The 22042-nt window shown below is 43.0% G+C and overlaps 1 protein-coding gene and 1 long non-coding RNA gene across 7 annotated transcripts in view; both read left to right on the top strand.

The window, feature by feature from the left end:
• Nucleotides 1–22042, top strand: part of MAGI1 (membrane associated guanylate kinase, WW and PDZ domain containing 1) — a 685393-nt gene that overhangs the window by 40921 nt on the left and 622430 nt on the right. The window lies entirely within an intron of this gene.
• The window catches only part of LOC124900543 (uncharacterized), a 55600-nt gene that overhangs the window by 26317 nt on the left and 7241 nt on the right, over nucleotides 1–22042 (top strand). The window contains exon 1 of the long non-coding RNA XR_007095951.1: nucleotides 1–22042. This exon is cut by the window's left edge and continues 26317 nt beyond it. This is a non-coding gene — a long non-coding RNA (uncharacterized LOC124900543).

Below are 22042 nucleotides of genomic sequence, written 5' to 3'. Positions count from 1 at the left end.
CTGAGTAGCTGGGGTTTCCCCCTGTTGGTCAGGCTGGTCTTGAACTCCTGACCTCAAGTGATACACCCACCTTGGCCTCTCAAACTGCTGGGATTACAGGCAGGAGCCACCACACCCAGCCAACAACTACTATTTTGCCTTGTCTTGTGAGACTAGAGTTGGCGAACAGTCCTTGCTCTCATGGGTCTTAGGTTCCTGGTGTCGAGGGGGAGAGGGTGTGTGTGGAGAGGGAAAAGAGGAAACACAAAAGCAATAGTTGAACAAGAGAATTTTAGATGGTGGGTAGGTTGACTTGGTACAGAACTCCATGAAATTTCATCATGGATATGATATTTTCTTTTTGAGACGGAGTCTTGCTCTGTCGCCCAGGCTGGAGTGCAGTGGCGCGATCTCGGCTCACTGCAACCTCCGCCTCCCAGGTTCATGCCATTCTCCTGCCTCAGCCTCCCGAGTAGCTGGGACTACAGGCACCCGCTACCACGCCTGGCTAATTTTTTGTATATTTAGTAGAGATGGGGTTTCACCATGTTGGCCAGGAAGGTCTTGATCTCTTGACCTCGTGATCCACCTGCCTCAGCCTCCCAAAGTGCTGGGATTACAGGCGTGAGCCACCGCGCCTGGCTGATATTATTTTTACTGAGTTCTGTGAGGCCGATATTCTTTTCTTTGTAGCATGACATTGCAATCATTTTATAAATCTTGGCAAATCTGAATTTTGGTCTGTGGATAAGTTGGTGGAGGTTTTAGTGGTTTGGATCTTGTATAAGGTCTTGCACAGTGCTGCTGGTGGTCAGGGTATGTGAGGAGGTGCTGCCAGACCACTTCCACTGAGGTAGGGTGGGTACATAGATGCATTTTTAAGTACTCCCTACAACAAAAACCATTCCCTGGGGAATGTAAAGTGCTGGAGGCAAAATAATCTGCAGAAGAAAATCTAAAGAACCATATATATCCCAATTAAATTTCTGCCTCTGCTAAGCAAATTGAGAAAATCAGCAGTCTGGTTCCTTTTCAGCTGTGAGAAAATTGGGAATAGAATACCTGACAAGGTGTGTGTTGGAGATGACGTCATTCGTGTATGACAACCACAAGAGTTGCTTGTTAAGAAGCAAGTATGCTAGTCATTTGATGACTTAATCTTTTATCTTGGCCGCCCGGGGCCTTCAGTTCAGGGTGTTGATTTCATCAGAACTAACCTAGAAAGAATGATATGAAACTTCGTGAGTGCCCGGCCCTCCGATGGTCCCAGCTGTCCCAGCACAAGCTGGAGTGTCTATTGCTTTACCTGGCAGAGAGCTCCGGGCTCAGAACAGGAAATGTGGGAGTTCTCCACCCAACTTTGACAGACGGGAGTGGAAAGGAGTGAAGCGAGCGGAAGTCTGACTTCATTTTTGGTTTTCAGACTGTCAGACTGGAAGGGTAACTTTAAGTGGGGGCTCGCTTCCCCCCCCCCCCCCTTAGTTTTTCATTTATAGTTATCACTAAATATATTCCAATGATGGAAAATTACGGCTTTTTACTTGCCATTTGGCAGCTGTGCCTGTATCTCTTTTTTAGTTTTTGGTGTGTATTTTAAATTTAGTTAGGATTGAATGGGGTGGAATTATGAGATTTAAAAAAAAATGAAGTGTTGCACTGTTAATTTAGGGTTAGGTGCAGTATAAAAAGACAAGTTATAATAGTAGCTGGCAATTATTGAGAGCTTATTGTGTTCTGTGTTGCAGGTGAAGACCTTGAAATACATGGTATCATTTTTTTTATCCTCCTTAACATTCTAGGAGGTAGGTGCTGTAATTATTTTCATATTCTAGATGAGGAAACTGAGGCTCAGAGAAGTTCAATAGTTGCCCAGTTGCGAAGTTCAGTAGTGTTACCTAACTAATGAATGGTGGGTCGTAGATTCCAATTTAATTTGTAGGTTCTGGGACCCAAATTCTTAGAACTCTGGTTATTTTTTAGAAAGCTGAAAAAGATCCCGTTTTTGTTTTGTTTTGTTTTTTGAGAAAGGGTCTTTCTCTGTCACCCAGCCTAGAGTACAGTGGCACGATCATAGCTCCCTACAACCTCAAACTCCTGGGCTCAAGAGATCCTCCTGCCTCAGCCTCCTGAATAGCTAGGACTACAGGTGCATGCTACCACACGCAGCTAGCTTTTTAATTGCCGCACAATTTTTTGTCTGAAAATATTCACAGGATTCCCAGAGAACAGACTTAGATAGCTGTTGAGGAGGATAGAAATGAATGCACTGAATAATTACAAATGGGAATAGAAGGGCCCGGTGGAGCAGCGCATGCTCAGCTGGAAGAGATTATGGGAGGTTGTTAAATTTGCTGCTTCAGGAATGTGCTTGCTGGTCTGTCATTTTCTCTCCTTCCCTGACAATAGTTTGAATAGGATTTGAATTTACCATTTGGGGCCTCGTGATACATTTAGGATCTGATCTCTTTCTCAAAAAAAAAACCCTTTAAGGGAGCCGTATATCCTTATGGGGAAATGGATGAAAAGGATGTGTCCTCTTGTCTGTATCACCTCTACTCTTTGAAAAATATTTAAATTTCTTATTAACTTGAGCTTTCAGTGGGATTGAATTGACCTGTCTTATTATTTCTTGGCTCTCCTGCATTGGGACGGTGTGAGCCACTCACCTACTAATGACTCATTGTAATTATTGGCTATTGCTGAACTCCTCTGGACAGCACCATTGTGTAACAAGTCCATCTCTAGACCATATTGCATTTGTTATTTATGTTTTTGCTTATCTCAGCACCTTTATGGAAATGTGTTTCTTGTTGTCTGTCTTCACCAGGGAGAAGCCAAGGCTGAGTGACTCATCAGAGGATCACGGTTCCTTCCGAGTTTTCTAGAGCCTGCAGTATGGGCAAGAGTTGAGGGTCAGTGGGGAACAGACAATGTTTTTGTCCCCGAGAAACTTATATGTGGATGGAGGAGCTTTCTGTCTAAGAACTCCATGCCCCTCAGGTTTAGCACCTGACCACTTAACCCTTTGTTTCTTTCCCATGGTTAAGGGAAACAATGAGTTAATTTCCTCTCTGCAAATGACTGGTCTTTGTGGAGGACAGAGGAAAGAGGAATGGAGCCAGTGATTGAAGTTTGTTCATTCATTGATGTGTGTAAGTTACAGTCAGCTGTTGGCTAGATAGCCTCAGTGAAACCCACTTCATGTGCCTAGAGAGTCCCCTCCTGTTGAAGGTACACAGGGCTTGTGCACCACTTTAAGAGTGTGGTAGAAGTGATGATACTGTGATTCCAGCTAAGCAATTTGAGCCAGCACCCAGCTGTCTGAGCCATTCTAGCTGGGACCCCAGATGGTTCACCCCAACAGATAGCTCAGGGAGCTGAGACAGAAGATACTGCATTCCCTGTTCACATTCTAAATGCACAGAGTTGTAAGAGAGATGAAATGGTGGTTGGTTGTTCTAAGCCACTAAGTTTTGGGTAGTCTGATATAAAACAGTAGATAATTGAAACAGATACATTCAAGAAGTCTTTAGTCAGCACCCAGGGTGGACCGACTGGGTTGCCTGTCTACCTCAGGGGGTGCTTAGCATATGAGGAGGGGAGATACTAATAAGCATTTCTAAGTTGAAAGTATTTTGAAAAGGGCACTGAGTCTCTCACTCTTTGCTGTGTTCTAGAGCATTGCATCTTGGAACCACTCACTTTCATGCTTTAGTCATTTACCAGTGTTTTTTTTTTTTTTTTTGAGATGGAGTCTTGCTTTGTCGCCCAGGCTGGAGTGCAGTGGTGTGATCTCGGCTCATTGCAACCTCTGCTTTCCAGGTTCAAGTGATTCTCATGCCTCAGTCTCCCAAGTAGCTAGGATTACAGGCACCCACCACCACGCCTGGCTAATTTTTGTATTTTTAGTAGAGATGGGGTTTCACCATGTTGGCCAGGCTGGTCTCGAACTCCAGACCTTTAGTGATCTGCCCATCCCTGCCTCCCAAAGTGCTGGGATTACAGGCTTGAGTCACTGCATCCGGCCTACCATATTTGTTTTAGTGTCTCATGGCTGTGGGTTGTCCTCTCTTATTTAGGAGATGGTAAACTTCTTGAGGGCAGGCAGGGAATTACCTTTCTTCTCTGGGGAGGGAGCACAGACTAGAGGTTATGGGCATGAACCTTGCAATCAGGTAGAATTTTGTTCCATTTCCAGGGTTAGCTAATTGTGTTACCTGGGAGAAGTTGACTTACTGACCCCAAGCTATGTGTGTGTGTGAGTGATTTATTAGCTACAGGTAATGCTTACTTCACAGAGTCTGAAAATGATGTAAGATGATGTCACACAGTGGTTGATGAGATCACACTTGAACTGCCTAACTCACAGGCTTGTGATCAAGTTTCATTCAATTTGATTAAAAGAAAATTAAGCGTATCAAGGGTGTAAAGGCTACAATGGTGAACAAGTTTTTGGGTTCAGTCCATGGAGGCTTGAACAGTGCTTGGCACCCAATTAGTGCCCCATAACTATTTGTTGAATGAAAGACTAATGTGTGAAGTGTGTTTCTCTGTGAGTTATTCTTGTTCAGTAGGTGTTCAGTAAGGGCTTGCTGGTTCTTCTAATTGCCTGTGGGTTTCTGCTGCAAATCACCCATCTCTAGCTACATGGGTTCTTGTTCTGTCAACATAGGTCCACACCCTGTGGAATAAGTGAGGCAGAGGTGTCATTTTAAGCCTCAGTGGGGAAACTGGTATCAGATGGGTTGCTGGTAAAACCATGTAAAGCAAAAAAAAGAAAATGAGTAATCTGTCATTTATAAGCAGCTCCATGTGGCCTGCTGTGATGGCTCTCAGTTAAATGGGATGCTCTTAGACATTTCATTTGCATATGAAGCATCTGGAAATAAAGCTGTAATGAAGCCAGGTGCATGTAGTCCCAGCACTTTGGGAGGCTGAGGCAAGAGGATCGCTTGAGCACAGGAGTTCTAGACCACCCTGGGCAATATAGTGAGACCCTGCCTCTACTAAAAATAATTAAAAAAAACATAGCCAGGCATGATGGCGTGTGCCTGTAGTCCCATCTACTCAGGAGGCTGAGGCGGGAGGATCTTTTGACCCAGGAGATTGAGGCTGCAGTGAGCCATGATCATGCCACTTCACTCCAGCCTAGGTGAGAGAGTGAAACCCTACAATAACAACAACAACAATAAAAATAAAGCCGAAATGATGCCCAGATTCTTGGAAAGAGAAAGGAATTTCTGATAAAGTCTCTGCCCCTTGTTCCCTTGTTGTCTTTCCTGGATCTGGAAGGCGTTGGTGGTATTGAGGGTTTTATTACTCAAAATATGGTCCATGTGCCAACTAGCAGCTTTCACATCTCCCGAGAGCTTGTTAAATACAGAATTTTGGTTGCCCTCCCAGATGTATTAGATGATAATCTGCATTTTAACAAGATCCCCTTGGAAGGGTCCTTGGAAAGCTTTGGTTAGACAGTCCTGGTATTGAAGGGAAGCAGAGTGTTGGAAATCAAGGGAAAGGTACTGCTTTCTGGCAGGCAAGACATAGCTACCACAGTTCACTGTTTTTTGCTCAGGTTTTCTTCAATGCAAACTGCACTCAGTCCATGTTATTTCACCACAGACAATAAAGGCTAGTACTCAAGGATCTGGAGGAGTAGAGGAAATACTTGTACTAAATAATCTATGGAAGGACTGTCTTTGTCAAGATATAGGTGAGTCACTGTTTCCTTAGATGTGCAACTGTGTGGGTTATTCAAGAAAGGGAGAGCTGACATTTATGAAGTGCCTATTATATGCCAGTTAGTGTATGAGGTACCTTCTGTGCATTTTTTCATCTGATTCTCCTACAACTTCTTGAGGATGTTATGGTTTTGTGAGGTTAACTTACCCATGACCAAACTCCGACTTTCTCTGGCACCCAAACCCTTCCATGCCATCATCTTGCATGCTTGTTTCTCATGGCATTCGGATTTATGTATTTTTATTTTTATTTATTTATTTTGAGATGGAGTTCTGCTCTTGTCACCCAGGCTGGAGTGCAGTGGTGCGATCTCGGCTCACTGCAACCTCTGCCTCCTGGGTTCAGGCAATTCTCCTGCCTCAGCCTCCCGAGTAGCTGGCATTACAGGTGCCTGCTGTCATGCCCAGCTAACTTTTGTATTTTTAGTAGAGATGGGGTTTCACCATGTTGGCCAGGCTGGTCTCAAACTCCTGACCTCAGGTGATCCACCCACCTCGGCCTCTCAAAGTGCTGGGATTACAATCACGAGCCACCGTGCCTGGCCTGGATTTATTTTTTAAACTGATACCACCGTGTGATTTAGGGAAGAGTCTAAGCAAGAAAGATATCTAGATCAAAACTCATATTTGGTCAGTCAGAGCAAAGTCTTAAAATGTTGTAGTGTTTGTTAAGTATTAGAATTTCATTGCATCAGAAACAGGCCAGGAGGTAGTCTGCTTGCATTAGCTCACCCAAGCTATTTCCTCAGTTTCCTGGGAACAAGAAAAAGCGACGTCTGGTTCTGTCACCTAGGTTTCATAAGTACACTGACACTGGAGAGGAACACTTTCATAGTACCATTGAGGAAGGACACTCAGAAATGGTATTGGAGGCAGAAGTGTCAAATGTAAGTCACTTGGAAACCAGCTTCATGAGTTTTGCCATATTCATATATTACAGTATCATTAACTTTCTTTTTTTTTTTTTTTTACCTTTTTTTTTTTTTTTTAGACAGAGTCTCTCGCTCTGTCGCCCAGACTGGAGTGCAGTGGCAGATCTCAGCTCATTGCAACCGCCACCTTCTGGGTTCAAACAATTCTCCTGCCTCAGCTTCCTGAGTAGCTGGGACTACAGGCGCATGCTACCACGCCTGGCTGATTTTTGCATTTTTAGTAGAAATGGAGTTTCACGCTGTTGGCCAGGCTGGTCTCCAACTCCTGACCTCAAGTGATCTGCCCACCTTGGCCTCCCAAAGTGCTGGGATTACAGGTGTGAGCCACCGTGCCCAGCCTCATTTACTTTTATTTTTTAGAGACAGGGTCTCACTCCATCACCCAGGCTGGAGTGCAGTGATATGATCATAGGTCACTGCAGGCTCAAACTCCTGGGCTCAAGTGATTCTTTTGCCTCAGCCTCCCAAGTATCTAGGACGACAGGCATGCACCACCACATCCAGCTGAGATCTGAGATTCAAAATCAGAAGGTTTGATAGAGAATTAGAAAGGAAATAATTTTTCCCAAAATATGATTTACCATTATTTATTTCTGTATCTGTATATATACCACCTAAGTTCTTCTGCACAATGGCCTATATATTTGAAGATGACTAAGTTTTTATAGTCAGCATTCTCTTTCTGAGCAGGTCCAGTTTACAACACTTGGCCTTTAGGAATGTTACGTTATACTGGGTTCAGGCTCATCATAGTTACTCTGTGCTAAGAGGCAAACCGGCTCAAAGGAACATCATGCCATAGCAGGAACTGAAATCTGAAGAATGAATCTTGAAGCATGTGCTTGAGAATGGCCTGACAGCTATGCTCATCTGGTGTTAGAAGCTTCGGCTAAACAAGGAGAGTCTCCCTTACCAGAGGGTCATTCTTTGGTAGGCGGTACTCATCCTAAGAGACTTGTAAATCTTCCGTTAGGGAACAAGCCTGAGCGGTTGATTTAGATGTTGGTCTTCCCTCAGTAACCTCCCTAATCTTTAACTTTTCCATTTTTGCCAGTGGTGGAATGCTGACCGAGAACCTGCCTGGTATTTATAGTACTTGGAGCAAGATACTGAACTTGAGTTCATGATCCCGCACCTTGCCGTGGTGACTTGTATTACCTCTTTCTTTCCCTCCCCTGCCTCACGTTAATCTCACTCAGGTCTTGCCAGCTCTTCCTCCTGTGTCTGCTACTTCCTCTTTATTTCCTCACAAGATAATCCTCTTCATTATCATCATCATCATCATCAGATCTCTAGACTTTAGTCATTCTTGAACTACTTTCTTAATTTCTTCATATCTGTGTACCACCTGAACCAGTTTTATTTATATTTTTCTTTCAATCAAATTACTTCTTAAACTTTAGTCTGTAAAAACTGTAAAATCATAGGTTTTATATGACAGCTAACTTTCCCCAAATATTCAGTAAAATGAACACAACAACTGTATAACATTAAAAAATTATGTCTGGGTCAGGTGCAGTGGCTCATGCCTGTTAATCCCAGCACTTTGGGAAGCTGAGGTGGGCGGGTCACTTGAGGCCAGGAGTTCGAGACCAGCCTGGCCAATGTGGCAAAACCCTGTCTCTACCAAAAATACAAAAATTAGCCGGGTGTGGTGGCTGGTGCCTGTAATCCCAGCTACTCGGGAGGCTGAGGCAGGAGGATCACTTGAACCCAGGAGGTGGAGTTTGCAGTGAGCCGAGATCATGCCACTGCCCTCCAGCCTGGGTGGCAAAGCTAGACTCCATCTCAAAATAGATAAATAAATAAAAATAAATTTATGTCTGGTATTACAAATTCATCTCACGTACCACTCCTGGCTCATGTACTGTTTATACTAATCTTTGACCTATAGCAGTGGTTCTCCACAGTAGCATTACATTAGACTCATGTGGGAAGATATAAAAAAATACCAATGCCTCATGCTTCACTGATTAAATCAAAATTTATGGGAATGGAGTACAGAACTTCTAAAAAGTTCATTGGACAAGTCTAGCGTGCAGCCAGAATTTAAAAACACTGAGCTGAGAATGTGGTCAAATATCCTTCCCATCTTCACTCTCTACCTGTTTGAATGTATGTTTTACATTATTTCTATATAAATCCTCTTAAAATCTTCCATGTTTGAGGCTTACTGGTTATATAAAGGCAGTGACAGTGCTTTGAATAGTGTCTGCATAGGAAGCATTTTAAATGTGTAATTTTGTGATGGAGCGTTGGTATAAAACTGAGCAAACCTAGGTTCTTGGCTCTGTCCTTCGACTTATTAACTTGAGGATTACAGGCAGTTGTCTGCATCTTTCTGAGCCTTAGTTAAGTCAGCTGTCAGATGGGGAGACTAATCCTTACCAGGCATATCTCCCAGAATTGAGTAAGGGTCGAATGAGAAAATATATTTTTAAAATGGTCTGTTAACTGTCTTCAGGGAATCAGGGCATAAAAATATTGTTAATAAGTCAGTGGGTGGGGGTGGTGATAAAAAATAGAATAGGAAAAGTTTGAGGACAAAATATTTCATATTAGGTGTGATAATTCTTAAAAATGAGTTCTTTCTAATTATAATGATAGAAGCTGTGCCATGTTTTTGCTCTTGGACTGTTGATTGTCCTCAGAATGAGACAGCTGGGCTCATCTTAGTGCTTGAACTGAACAACAGCTGCTAATTACAACTCAAGGAAAAACTACAGGCTGATCTGATTATGGTTTCTAGAGGTTAGACTCCCTTTCACTGTATCTCATTGTGTTCTTTGTTGTGTTTCTGCTATGGTAGGTTAACTCTGGTTTTGCCCTCATTTGTAGGTAGATTCCTGGAAGTGGCACATCTCTACGTTGTTAGTAGAAATCTTGCCTTGCAGCCGCTGATGGCTCATCTGGAGTGATGTGACTGAGGAGAGACCTCCACCCTCCCAATCTGCCACTGTACTTAGGGGTATTGTCTGCATAACCCCCTTCACTGGGGCCAGTCGCCAACATTGTCAACAGCACAGTTATGCCTGCTTTAACTTTCACCTCAAAAATAGCTGACCACTCTGGCTTCTGTGTTGAATGAAAAAAAATAGGATGTCACCAACACAAATGGATATCCTGAATTTCGGGACAAGTGTAGATTTGAGTAACTTGTAGGGGTCCCTGAATGTTTCCTGGTACTTACTGACTTTGTTTTCATACTTGATTGGAATGTCTTGAGCCCCAAATAGGCTCTGAAAAGCTGAGAGGTTTTTTGTTTTGTTCATTTTTTAAGCTTTTAACAATGTGTTCAGATAATAACTTACACTTATATCTTCAACCCGTTTTCAGATTCATGGTCTTATTTTGTCCTTATAACACTAGGAGGCAGGGGCATGCAAGTGCAGGGGCAGTCCTTGAATTTATTTACAGTTTTGATATGTAATTCGTGATGGACTTTACCACACTAATTTTTATTTTTAAAAGTACTGTAGTCGGGAGCAGTGGCTCATGACTGTAATCTCAATACATTGGGAGGCCAAGGCAGGCAGATTGCTTGAGCCCAAGAGTTTGAGACTAGCCTGGGCAATGTGGGGAAACCCCATCCCTACAAAAAATGCAAAATTAGCTGGGCATGGTGGTACTCACCTGTAGTCCCGAATTGCTTGGGCCCAGGAGGCAGAGGTTGCAGTGTGTGGGGATCATGCCATTGCACTCCAGCCTGGGTGACAGAGTAAGACTCTGCCTTAAAAAAGAAAGGAAAGAAAAGCAGGCAGGCAGGAAGGAAGAAGTGAAAGTATTGCATTAATTCTTAATTCTTGAGGGTTTTGGTGCCTCTTAAATTTTGCACCCAAGGTAAGTGGCTCGCCTGCCTCACCCTAGTTCCTACCCTGGCCTCCCACCTCTAATGTGCAGTTACCTACATCTTAGCTTCATATGCCAAGCACTGTGTTCGTTGACTTACAAATGTCTGTTATGTCTTTGATTTAATCCTTATACCAACCCTGAGGGGTCGGTACTGATGCCATCTCCATTTCATCTAGGATACTAGAGCACATGACAAGGTGCATGCCTTGCCCAAGGATGCACATTAGGAATAGCAGAGTTCAAGCTCTTCCCTCCCAAAGTCACATGAGTGAAATGTGTAGCTATACTGGTATCCCTTGACAGGTAGGCTTAAAATCCCTTCTTTAGGCCAGGCGCGGTAGCTCACGCCTGTAATCCCAGCACTTTGGGAGATCGAGGCGGATCACTTGAGGTCAGGAGTTCGAGACCAGTCTGGCCAACATGGCAAAACCCCGTCTCTACTAAAAATGTAAAAATTTAGCCGAACATGGTGGCGTATACCTGTAGTCCCAGCTACTCTGGAAACTGAGGCAGGAAAATCACTTGAACCTGGGAAGTGGAGGTTACAGTGAACTGAGATCATGCCACTGTACTCCAGCCTGGGCAACAGAGTTAGACTCTGTCTCAAAAAAAAAAAAAAAAAATCCCTTCCTTAATTGCACTACTTACCTTCATTGTAAAGAATGGACAGCTGATAAAAATTACATTATTCTCAAAGTACCAGTCCAGAAACAGCTTGTAAGAAGACCGTTGGACTATCACAAGCTAAACATAAATAATGTGACACCTATCTTAAAGAATATTTACGCAAAAAGCTTCTAAGGTGCCAGACGACATTTCAAACACGAATAACAACCCACAGGAGAAAACAATCTCAGCTTCCCAACCTGAGCCAGAACCAAGCTTTTGGAAATCCTGGTAAGGCCTGCACACATCTTGAAAAGGAAATCGGGTGCATCCAGAATGAAAGGACCAAGGCTGTGTGCACTTGCACCTGGGGAACATCAAGGCAAGAGCTAATTTTAGGACTGGCTGTCCTGCTCCTGCCCTTTATCTTAATTACATACTTCTGTTAATAGAGCTTAGCAATTGGCCCTGATTCAGATGCAAGAGACAAATTCAGGTGCACATCTCAACTCATCTAGGGATAAAATTAGCGTTTAGGTTGTAAGGGTATTTATAGAATCTATTTCTTCAGCTGAGCTTAGATATTTCTACTAAGATAAGACAATCTTTTTTTTTAAAAGTTAATATGGGTAAAATTGGGACTACATCAACAGAAAAAAACAATGTCATTTATCAAGGATGGTATATAAGTTTCATGTGCCAATTCCAATAGAGAATGATGTTGCAAACATGCCTGTGTTTAGTGAGAAGAGGCACCATGATCAATCAGCTATGTCTGGCTGGAAATGGAAGGAAATGACCACAAACATCTGGCCCATTTGCTCCTTCTATCCTATACCCTTTTACCCTTGAGCTGATTCTCCAAAAGCCAATGAAGGGCAGAGAATCTATCAACTAGGGAAGACGTCTTTACAAATACAGCATTTAATACATTCTTCTTGACTAACAGTTCTAAGCCAAGTCACTGAGCATGTTCAAATGGGGCACTAGTTTAATTGCTTTAGTTTCAAAATTGCCATTTTCTATTTCCAGTTTTCTTGGGTTTTCTGCAGTGCCACTCACTATCCTTTTCATCTGAACTCAGAGATGCAAAAAATGTGAGCCAAACTGGGTCTATCCCAACTGACTACTGAAAACCACCCCCTCTCCTTGCTCTCTTGTGAGCAGAGCTTCCATTGTTCTGAGACAATATGACATTTCCTCCAAACAGGTAGTTAGTAAATAAACCATCAAATACTGGAAACGATGTTTATTTTAAGTTTTCAAAGTACCAGGGGAAAAAAAGACGAGAGATTTCCACTTAAGAAAGTCTATTAGTCCTGTCCTTATTTCAAAAATGTTCAATTCCATGTAATCTTTTGGAGTATGATACCTAAAGGAATTTTCAATGAGACTTGAGACAGGTGCATTTCCAGCTTTTCTCAATTGCTTGGTGTGTACATTTCCAAGGAGGAGCCTGTATACCAACTAATTCTAACTCTCAAAGTCCATTGAGAACATTTCTGCATATGACCAAAATGATCAGGCTACCAAACTGGCCACTATGATCATTCTAGCTGTTCTCATAAGAGATTAAATTCATGAACAAGGTGTCAGCTTGAATGCTTCTCTGGCCTTACTTGACCTGCCACCTCCCATTCATATAATGTTAACAATAACTTGTCATGTGTTTGTGAAACACTGTGAACTTCTCCATCCAATAATATTCAGTATGTTTCCAGTCACATGGTCAGGGTAAAGTCATGGCTATCTCGCTCCTCACAGAAATCAAGAGAGTAACAGAGCCTTTTGAAAGTCACACATGCTCAGTAAATGAGGAAACACTGGGGTTGACATCAGTACCAAAGCTGGGGTAGGAAGGGCTACTACAGAGAACTGGATGGAGAGTTAGAAGGCCTGGGGCCTCTGCCCCATTTTAAATGAACCTCAGACAAGACCTCCAAATATCTGTCCTCAAGTTGCTTCATCTACAAAGAAAAGAGAAAACTTCCCCTTGTCTCCATGGTACAAAATTAATCTGAGAATGAAATGGTATTTTGTGCCAGGCATGGTGGTTCACACCTGTAAATCCTAACACTTTGGGACGTTGAGGCTGGAGAATCACTTGGGCCCAGAAGTTCAAGACCACCCTGGGCAACATAGTGAGACTCCTATCTCTAAAAAAAAAAAAAAAAAGAAAAAAAAATTAGCAAGGCATGGTGGTGCATGCCTGTGGTCCCAGCTACTCCCGAGAGTAAGGCTGAAGTGGGAGGATCACTTAAGCTGGGGAGGCTGAAGCTGCAGTGAGTGGTGATCGTAACACTGTACTCCAGCCTGGGCGATAGAGTGAGACCCTGTCACACACACACACACACACACACACACACACACACACATTTTATTTTGAAAATATTATATTAAACGTGTTTTAAAAGAAGGAGAGGGGAAATATGAACATGCAGATTGGTCATCACAGTTCCATGAAGCACTTACATCCCAGTATCAACAGAATTTTTAATAAATAAATGGTGTGTTTGAGGATCCATGAATGCAAAACCGCATCTTTCTACTAACCACCAGATTCCTAGTACCCAACACACTATTTATATAGTTTTTAGATGGTGTCTCACTCTGTCACGCAGGCTGGAGTGCAATGGCACAATCTTGGCTCACTGCAACCTCTGCCTCCTGGCTTCAAGTGATTTTCCTGCCTCAGCCTCCCAAGTAGCTGGGATTACAGGTTCCTGCCACCATGCTTGGCTAATTTTTGTATTTTTAGTAGAGATGGGGTTTCACCATCTTGGCCAAGCTGGTCTTGAACTCCTGACCTCAGGTGATCCACCCGCCTTAGCCTCCCAAAGTGTTGGGAATTACAGGCATGAGCCATTGTGCCCGGCCTACACTACCTTTTAAGAAGGCACTCAATTACTATTTGATGAGTAAAATATGACAACATGAGTACTTCCTGGGTGCTAGGTACGACTTCAAGTACTTTAGATGCATTAACTCATTCAAACCTCCCACCAACTTATAAACTGTACTATTATAATCACCTTATGGGGTGAGTACCATCACTATTCCCATTTTACAAATATAAAAAACTGAAACATAAAGAAGTTAAGTAATTTGGCAAAGTTACCCACCCTGGAAGCGGCCATTGTCAACTAATGTTCTCTCTAGGAGGAGTGCTGAGTGACTGTGTTAGCCAGGGCATCAGTGAATAAGTGACAGAATAATTGGGAGGGAGAGAGAGATAAGGAGGGGTGGGGAAATGACTTATTTAAAAGACTGCTATCAAACTCTAATTTCATTTTTAAAAAATTTTAAAACATAATATTCACCTAAAAAGAAACTGTATTTGGAGAAGAGCACCGAAACTTAGAATCAGGCTATCTAAATCTCATTGTCTGTTGAAATTCTTTTCATCCAAACTATGTGAGTGAATTTTAAAAGACAGAAAAGTCCAGAGTTGAAATGCTCACCAGTGGTTTTAAAGTCATTTCACAGAGAGGCCTCGGAGAGTCTCATTGTACTCCACATTATTCACATAAAAGAACTTCACTTAATTTTCCCCAGCTTCAAAGGAGAGCACTACTAAACATTGGTTCATAAATCAGTAACTACTGAAGCAGAAGGCAAGACCAGAGAAATAAATTATATGCACATATAAAGAAAAGCAAATATTTATGTCAGAAGGCAAACAAGTTTTACTTTATGATGTGTCTTGAACTTTTCCTCTATTCTGAGAAACCCCTTGCATTAAAATATTCATTTTCCCAGCCTGGGCAACAAAGCAAGACCCCATTTCAACAAAAACAAAAATAACCTGGGCATGGCAGCATGAGCCTGTGGTCCCAGCTGTTCAAAAGGCTGCTGCAGAAGGATCCCTTGAGCCCAGGAGTTGGAGGTTGCAGTGAGCTATGATTGTGCCACTGTACTGTAGCCTAGGTGACGGAGGGAGAGCCTGTCTTTAGAAAAATAAAAAAATAAAAAATCATTTTCCTTACTGTTAAGAAACAAACAAACAAAAATATATATTTTTTGAAGTAAGCCAGGACTTGTGCTCTCAGGACCTCTCATGAGAGCTTTTAGTACCTGGGATGCATCAGTCACAAAGGGCTTCAAATGTAGATTTTTGGCACTGGTGCCTACTGAGCTTAGATATACAGTCACTATAATGGTGACTGAAATGACAATACAATCATTACGATGTTACACATGAGCCCTATTACCAGACCACACACTCTACAATACAAGACACTGATAATTAATATTTTTTATGAGACCATAATTGTCTCGTAATGGCAGTCACTCCACGTGGCATATTATGTAGGCATTAAAAGCATTGATTTATTAGGTATTGATATTTAAAATATACCATCATTTTTACAGCTGTATTCTGGCATTTCTTCCCTTTTTAAATGCACCATGGAAGTTGCCCAGGTGTCTCTGGACTTCTGCTCAGGGTGGATGGCATGAAGCATTTCCCTGGTGAGAAGGAGAAAGGTCAAGAGCAGGACTCTGCCTTTTTTTCTGTAAAATGCACCTTGCAGATGATAGACCTTGCACCAAAGAAGGGGCATGTGGCATGCCCAAATGTCGGCCAAGAGATAAGCAGAGGGTGGGAATTAAAACCCCAGGCCAGTCTCAGGCTGAGAGGATCATGGAAGCCTTCTTCCTAAGTCAAGACCTCTTCCCAAAGCCACAGGAGAGGGCCGATGCTCAGGGAACTCGACCAAGAGGTGCAGGCACTTGTTAGAGTAAATCCAGCTCTGGTCAAAATGGCACTGCAGGAAAAATCTTCCTTCACTGTTTTATTTTAAGTTACATAGTGAAAGTCTCCAACCCTGCAAGGGGAGAAAGTGTTTTAAGAGATTGGTCTCTGGAGGCAGACAGATGCCTCGACTTACGAGACCTGATACAAATGATAAACTCTATGTAAAATACATACATGCTATCTCTTGAGCATTTAATACTGTATTAGTCTGTTCTCACACTGCCAATAAGGACATACCTGAGACTAGGTAATTTATAAAGAAAAATAGGTTTAATGGACTCACAGTTCCACATGGCTGGGGAGGCGGCACACTCATGGTGGAAGGTAAAAGACATGTCTTACATGGCAGCAGGCAAAAGGAAAAAATAAGAACCGAGCAAAAGGGGTTTCCCCTTATAAAACCATCAGTTCTTGTGAGACTTATTCACTACCACCAGAGCAATATGGGGGAAACCACCCCCATGATTCAGTTATCTCCCACCGGGTGCCTCCCACAACACGTGGGAATTATGGGAGCTACAATTCAAGATGAGAAGGGTGAGGACACAGCCAAACCATATGAAGTACTAACCACATATATCTAATACAGTCTCTCATATAATATTTTATAAGTCTGTGAGGGGCTATTATTATCTCAATTTTACAGATGATGAAACTGAAGGCAAGTTGTTTGTTCAATGTCAGGCAGGATTTGAGAAACCAGAATCAGAATCTGAAGTCAGCATAACTCCAAAGTTATGCTTAATGGTCATATTTTACCAACTCCTCAAAAAAGCCGAAGTGGGAGCCAAAAGGTTCACCTGCTTGCTAAAGCAGTACTGTCCAACAGAACTTGCAGTGATGTTTAAAATGTTCTACAGTGGAGCTATCCAATATAGAAGCTAAAAGCCACACATGGCTACGGAGCTCTTGAAATAAATGTGGCTAGTGTGACTAGGAAATTAAATTTCTTTTCTTTCCTTTTCTTTTTTTTTTTTTTTGAGATGGAGTCTCACTCTGTCACCCAGGCTGGAGTGCAGTGGCGTGATCTGCAACCTCCGCCTCCCGGGTTCAAGTGATTCTTCTGCCTCTGCCTCCCAAGTACCTGGGATTACAGGCACACGCCTTGATGCCCAGCTAATTTTTTTGGATTTTTAGTAGAGACTGGGTTTTACTATGCTGGCCAGGCTGGTCTCGAACTCCTGACCTCAAGTGATCTGCCTGCTTTGGCCTCCCAAAGTGCTGGGATTACAGGCATGAGCCACTGCACCTGGCCGGGAAATTAAATTTCTAATTCTATTTCATTTTAATTCATTTAATTGTAATTATTTAGATTTAAGTAGAATAAACATTGGACGGGGTAAGCTCTACAGCACATATATAATCTGTGGCTGTGCTTGCACTAATAAGCGAGCATTCCAACTCTCAGGCCAGGGCCTCTTCCACAATACCAAACATTAGGGGACCTGTGTACTAACTAGTTCTCTTATATATACCCATCATTTAACCAGTCTGCACCTCAGCTACTGATAAGCAACTCTGTGCTAAGTCACAATGACTTCTCTATCTTGCCTTTTTTTTTTTTTTTGAGATGGAGTCTCAGTCTCTTGCCCAGGCTGGAGTACACAGTAGGGCGATCTTGGCTCGCTGCAACCTTCACCTCCTGGGTTCAAGCGATTCTCCTGCCTCAGCCTCTCGAGTAGCTGGGATTATAGGCGTGCACCACCATGTGTGGCTAATTTTTGTATTTGTAGTAGAGACGGTGTTTCACCATGTTGGCCAGGCTGGTCTTGAACTCCTGACCTCAGGTAATCTGTTCACCTTGGCCTGCCAAAATGCTGGGATTATAGGCGTGAGCTACCACACCCAGCCATTACCTGTTTATTTTTCATATACCTATGTGCTATATTTCAAATGATCTCCAAAAGTATGGCTTAGAGAGGCTAAGTAATTTGTCCAGTGTCACACAGCTAATAAGGGGCATGACCCAGAATTTAAAACACCTAACTTTTTGGCCCCAGCTTTTTAAAAGCTGGACCTTAAAGCCACCACTGTTTGCTTGTATAATTAATCCCACCACTGTTCACTTGTCCCACCCTCATCCAGATGTGTCGGTTGCCCAGGGACAAGGCCATGTGCTGAAGGCCATGTGCTCAGCAGCTTTTCCGGGAATGATGGTCAGTTTGTAGTGACCCACTCTAGAGGCCAGTTCCTCTTTAATCACCCGCACATACTTTCAAGATGACTCTCTGGAGTCCAGGGTGCTGCTTAATATTGGAATATTGCTGAGCTCACAGTTTATTGAGAAGACTGATTCTGAATTTTTGGTCTCTTGGCCTGGTGCTGGAGCCATCTGAGCTATGCAGCCCGACACTGGAGTAATTGGCATGTCCTATTAACACCTAAGCTTTTCCTTTATGAGCACCCTTTGGATTGCAAGCCATCAAGTTTATCTACCTATCGACTCTTTGCAGAGGTGTCACATGGTTCCCAGTTTCTGATCCTGACCTGCATTCTGAAAACAAAATGAGGAACAAAGAAAGAGAAAGGATATTCATTTCTTTGGGTACTTCAAGGTTCTAATGAATGAAACAGAAATGCTGCCATTAAAATTCCCTGAAGCAAGACAACAGTGAGTTTTACTAGCACATCACCAAAGAAGTTAATCAGGTTTCCTTGGGGTTGCTGGGCTACGTTGCTTTGAAGAAAAATAGCACTTCCCTGAAGAGTAAGAATAGCTGAAACCACATGTCCCAGCGAGCTTTCAGCCAACTGCTCCTGAAGGAAACGGAATTTAACTGCGAGAATGGTTTTTGTTGGATGACGTTTTGATTAAGCAACAGGCTACTTTTCCACCCCGGGAATGTGATCATTTGAAGATAGATATATTATGACCCAAATAGAAGCTGGAGTAGAAGGAAGGGCTTGTAGGCTGAGGTTATGCCTTATTTGGTAAATTACTATAAGAAAATTGAACTGGGTGAGTTTAATATTCAGTCCTTATTTTCTGTTCCAGACATCTTGATATCTCTGTGAGTAGCTGTGGGGGGTGGCGGGGGGGGGGAAGAAAAGAAAAAAACTTTGGCTGTTCTTTCTAACTTGACTTCTTTTTCCAGAATTTTAAAAAAACGTGAGTGAGATGGATAGTTGGGCTCAGTGAATGAAGGAAGAGATGCTTTCTGAGTCCTCGAAATTATTGCTTTGTGAATGAAGAAATTAAGAGCTGAGCCAGGCGTGGTGGCTCACACCTGTAATCCCAGCACTTTGGTAGGCTGAGGAGGGCAGATCACTTGAGGTCAGGAGTTTGAGACCAGCCTGGCCAACATGATGAGACCCCGTCTGTACTAAAAATACAAAATTAACTGGGCGTGGTGGCGCATGCCTGTAATCCCAGCTACTCAGGACGCAAGGCTGGAAAATTGCTTGAACCTGGGAGGCGGAGGTTGCAGTGAGCTGAGATTGCACCATTGCACTCCAGCCTGGGCAACAAGAGTGAAACTCCATCTCAAAAAGAAAAAAAAAAAAAAAAAAGAAATTTTGAGCTGAGTCACCCCATTGTAGGATTTCAGATGACACTTGCAGTGATGGAACTGAGGATACTGTTAGGAATGGGGGATAGGATCCCTGGGTTGGAAGTATTTGGGGTATGATAGGAGAGAAAAAGGAAGTCCACCTAGGCTAGGAGACAGTCAGCTCCCTCCCCTGGCCTTCTCTTCCAAGCATTCTAGGCTCCTGGAGATTCAGCAGTGAGCAAGACAGAGCAGGTCTCTGCTCTTGTGGGAAGGAGGCAGAATTTCCTACTTATCAGTGTGGATTCTAGAGCCACAAACTTCCAGACTTGGATCCCAGCTTTACCATTTAGTGGTTGTGTGTCTTGGACAAGTTACTTAACCTCTTTGTGCTTTAGTTTTCTCATTTGTAAGAGGAGGATAATATTCTTACTTGCCTTATAGGCTTGTGAGAAACTGAAGTGCTTAGAACTGAGCCTGTCACATAGTAAATTTTCCATACAGTGTAAGCTTTAGCTTTGATCAGCTGCTATTATTATAAAGCTTACCATCTTGTGTGCACACATATGGCACGTAATAGGCATGTGAGTGAATAAATGCGGAAAAAAATAACAGCTAGTTTTGAGAGATAATGGGTAATGCAATAGGTGTTAGATGCACTGGTCAGGGAAGGCCTCTCTGGAAGTTAGAAACTTGAGACAGGACCTGGATTTTGAGTAGGAGTTGGTCTCCTGGTGATCTGGGGGCAGAGGACAGCGGGCAGAGGGAGCAGTGCCAACAATTCACCGAGGCGGCAAAGAACGTGGCAGGTTTGAGGAAGAACTAGCAGATGAATGTGGCTCAAGTCGGGCACAAACAGGAGATGGAGGCCTGTAGGGCCTTTCAGGTCATGGAGATGAGGTTTCTTTTTTTTTTTTATTTGGTAGTGGCAGGAGGATGGAGTCTCACTCTATCATCCAGGCTGGAGTGCAGTGGTGTGATCTCGGCTCACTGCAACCTCTGCCACCCGGGTTCAAGTGATTCTTGTGCCTCAGCCTCCTGAGTATCTGGGACTACAGGTGTGTGCCACCATGCCCAGCTCATTTTTGTATTTTTAGTAGAGACGAGGTTTCACTATGTTGGCCGGGTTGGTGGTGAACTTGTGGCCTCAGGTGATCCACCTGCCTTGGCCTCCCAAAGTGCTGGGATTACAGGCATGAACCACCGCGCCCGGCCGAGTTTTGATTTTATTATAAGGGTGGCAGGTCCAGCTGAGCGGTGGCGTGATCTGGTTTCGAATACGCTGTTCTGGGACACTGAAAGCATACTTACCTGTACCTAAGTGTGTTTTCAGGATGAAGTCAAGTGGAGTCCTCGTAGGTTGAGGGTGACAGTGACAACAAAGTGATGATGTTGACAACCTTTCACATATGCCACTGCGGGATGGTGGTGGGGCCAAAGGATTAGACTCCATGATGACCTATGGTCTCCTTTCCAATGTTGAGATGCCTAAAGCACAAGTTAGATGGAAAGAAAACCTATAACATCACAATCATTTATAAGTAGGTATTGAGCATCACTAAAAAGCCCAGGGTGCTTTAATTGACATTTTGGTTTCCTGGAATTGGGATTTGAAAGATTACCTGCTGAGATGGTTTCCATTTCTTGTTAACTTGTAATATGTGCACAATTTCTGCTTGAAAATACCTGTAAGAGACACCACTGAGAGTGAAGCTGTCATTTGAGGATGCCTTCTACCTGTTGTACCTTTTGAACAAAGCAAGTGTGAAAGCATGTAATTTGAATTAGGGCAGGTAATAAAGCTTCTGCTAATTTACGATGACACTGCACAGCTTCTAAGTCTTCTTCATGGTTTACCTGTGCCTTAAGCTAAGTGTGTTTCGATTAATTCTTGTATGTAATTGAGTTTGGTTCAAAGTCAAACGTGAGGGTAATTAACTCCAGAACATGATCAAAATATTTTTTAGCCATCGACAAACTCATTAGTGAGAAAGGTCTTTTTTTTGTTTGTTTGAGACAGAGTCCCAGTCTGTCACCCAGGCTGGAGTGCAGTGGTGCCATCTTGGCTCACTGCAACCTCTGCCTCCCAGGTTCAAGTGATTCTCGTGTTGCAGCCTCCTGAGTAGCTGGGATTACAGGAGCACACCACCACACCTGGCTAATTTTTTGTATTTTTAGTAGAGACAGGATTTTGCCATGTTGGCCAGGCTGGTCTTGAACTCTTGTCCTCAAGTGATCCACCCTCCTCCGTCTCCCCACAGTGCTGGGATTACAGGCATGAGCCACCATGCCTGGCCCAAAAAAGATCTTTTAAATAAATTTTGTATGGCCTACATCTTAGCATCCCTCATCCCACTCCGTTTAAAAAATGGCTATATATAAGTAATTACATCATTTAAGGTATTGGTGATGGTTTGCTTAATTCGTGAATATCTTATGACTTTTACAATATCATCTTATGTCACATAGGGGTTGTCTAGGGAGGAGCAGCAAAAAGTCACCACCAGTGCAGAGAGACATAGCCGAGTTCACCAAATGTTCCTGGCTTCTTGGCACTCAGAGTAGAACTGGGATGAAACACTTGCAAAGGACAACTTTGAAGGCACCAACCTAGGATGAAGCCATAAATAAAGACTGTCCTTTGGAATGGAGATTCTCCATCATTCAGTAGCAACTGACTTCAGCCTG

This window comes from Homo sapiens, chromosome 3 (assembly GCF_000001405.40).
Source record: "Homo sapiens chromosome 3, GRCh38.p14 Primary Assembly".
NCBI lineage: Eukaryota > Metazoa > Chordata > Mammalia > Primates > Hominidae > Homo > Homo sapiens.
The sequence above is the reverse complement of the archived record's forward strand: the minus strand, read 5'-3'. Positions and strand labels throughout refer to the sequence as shown.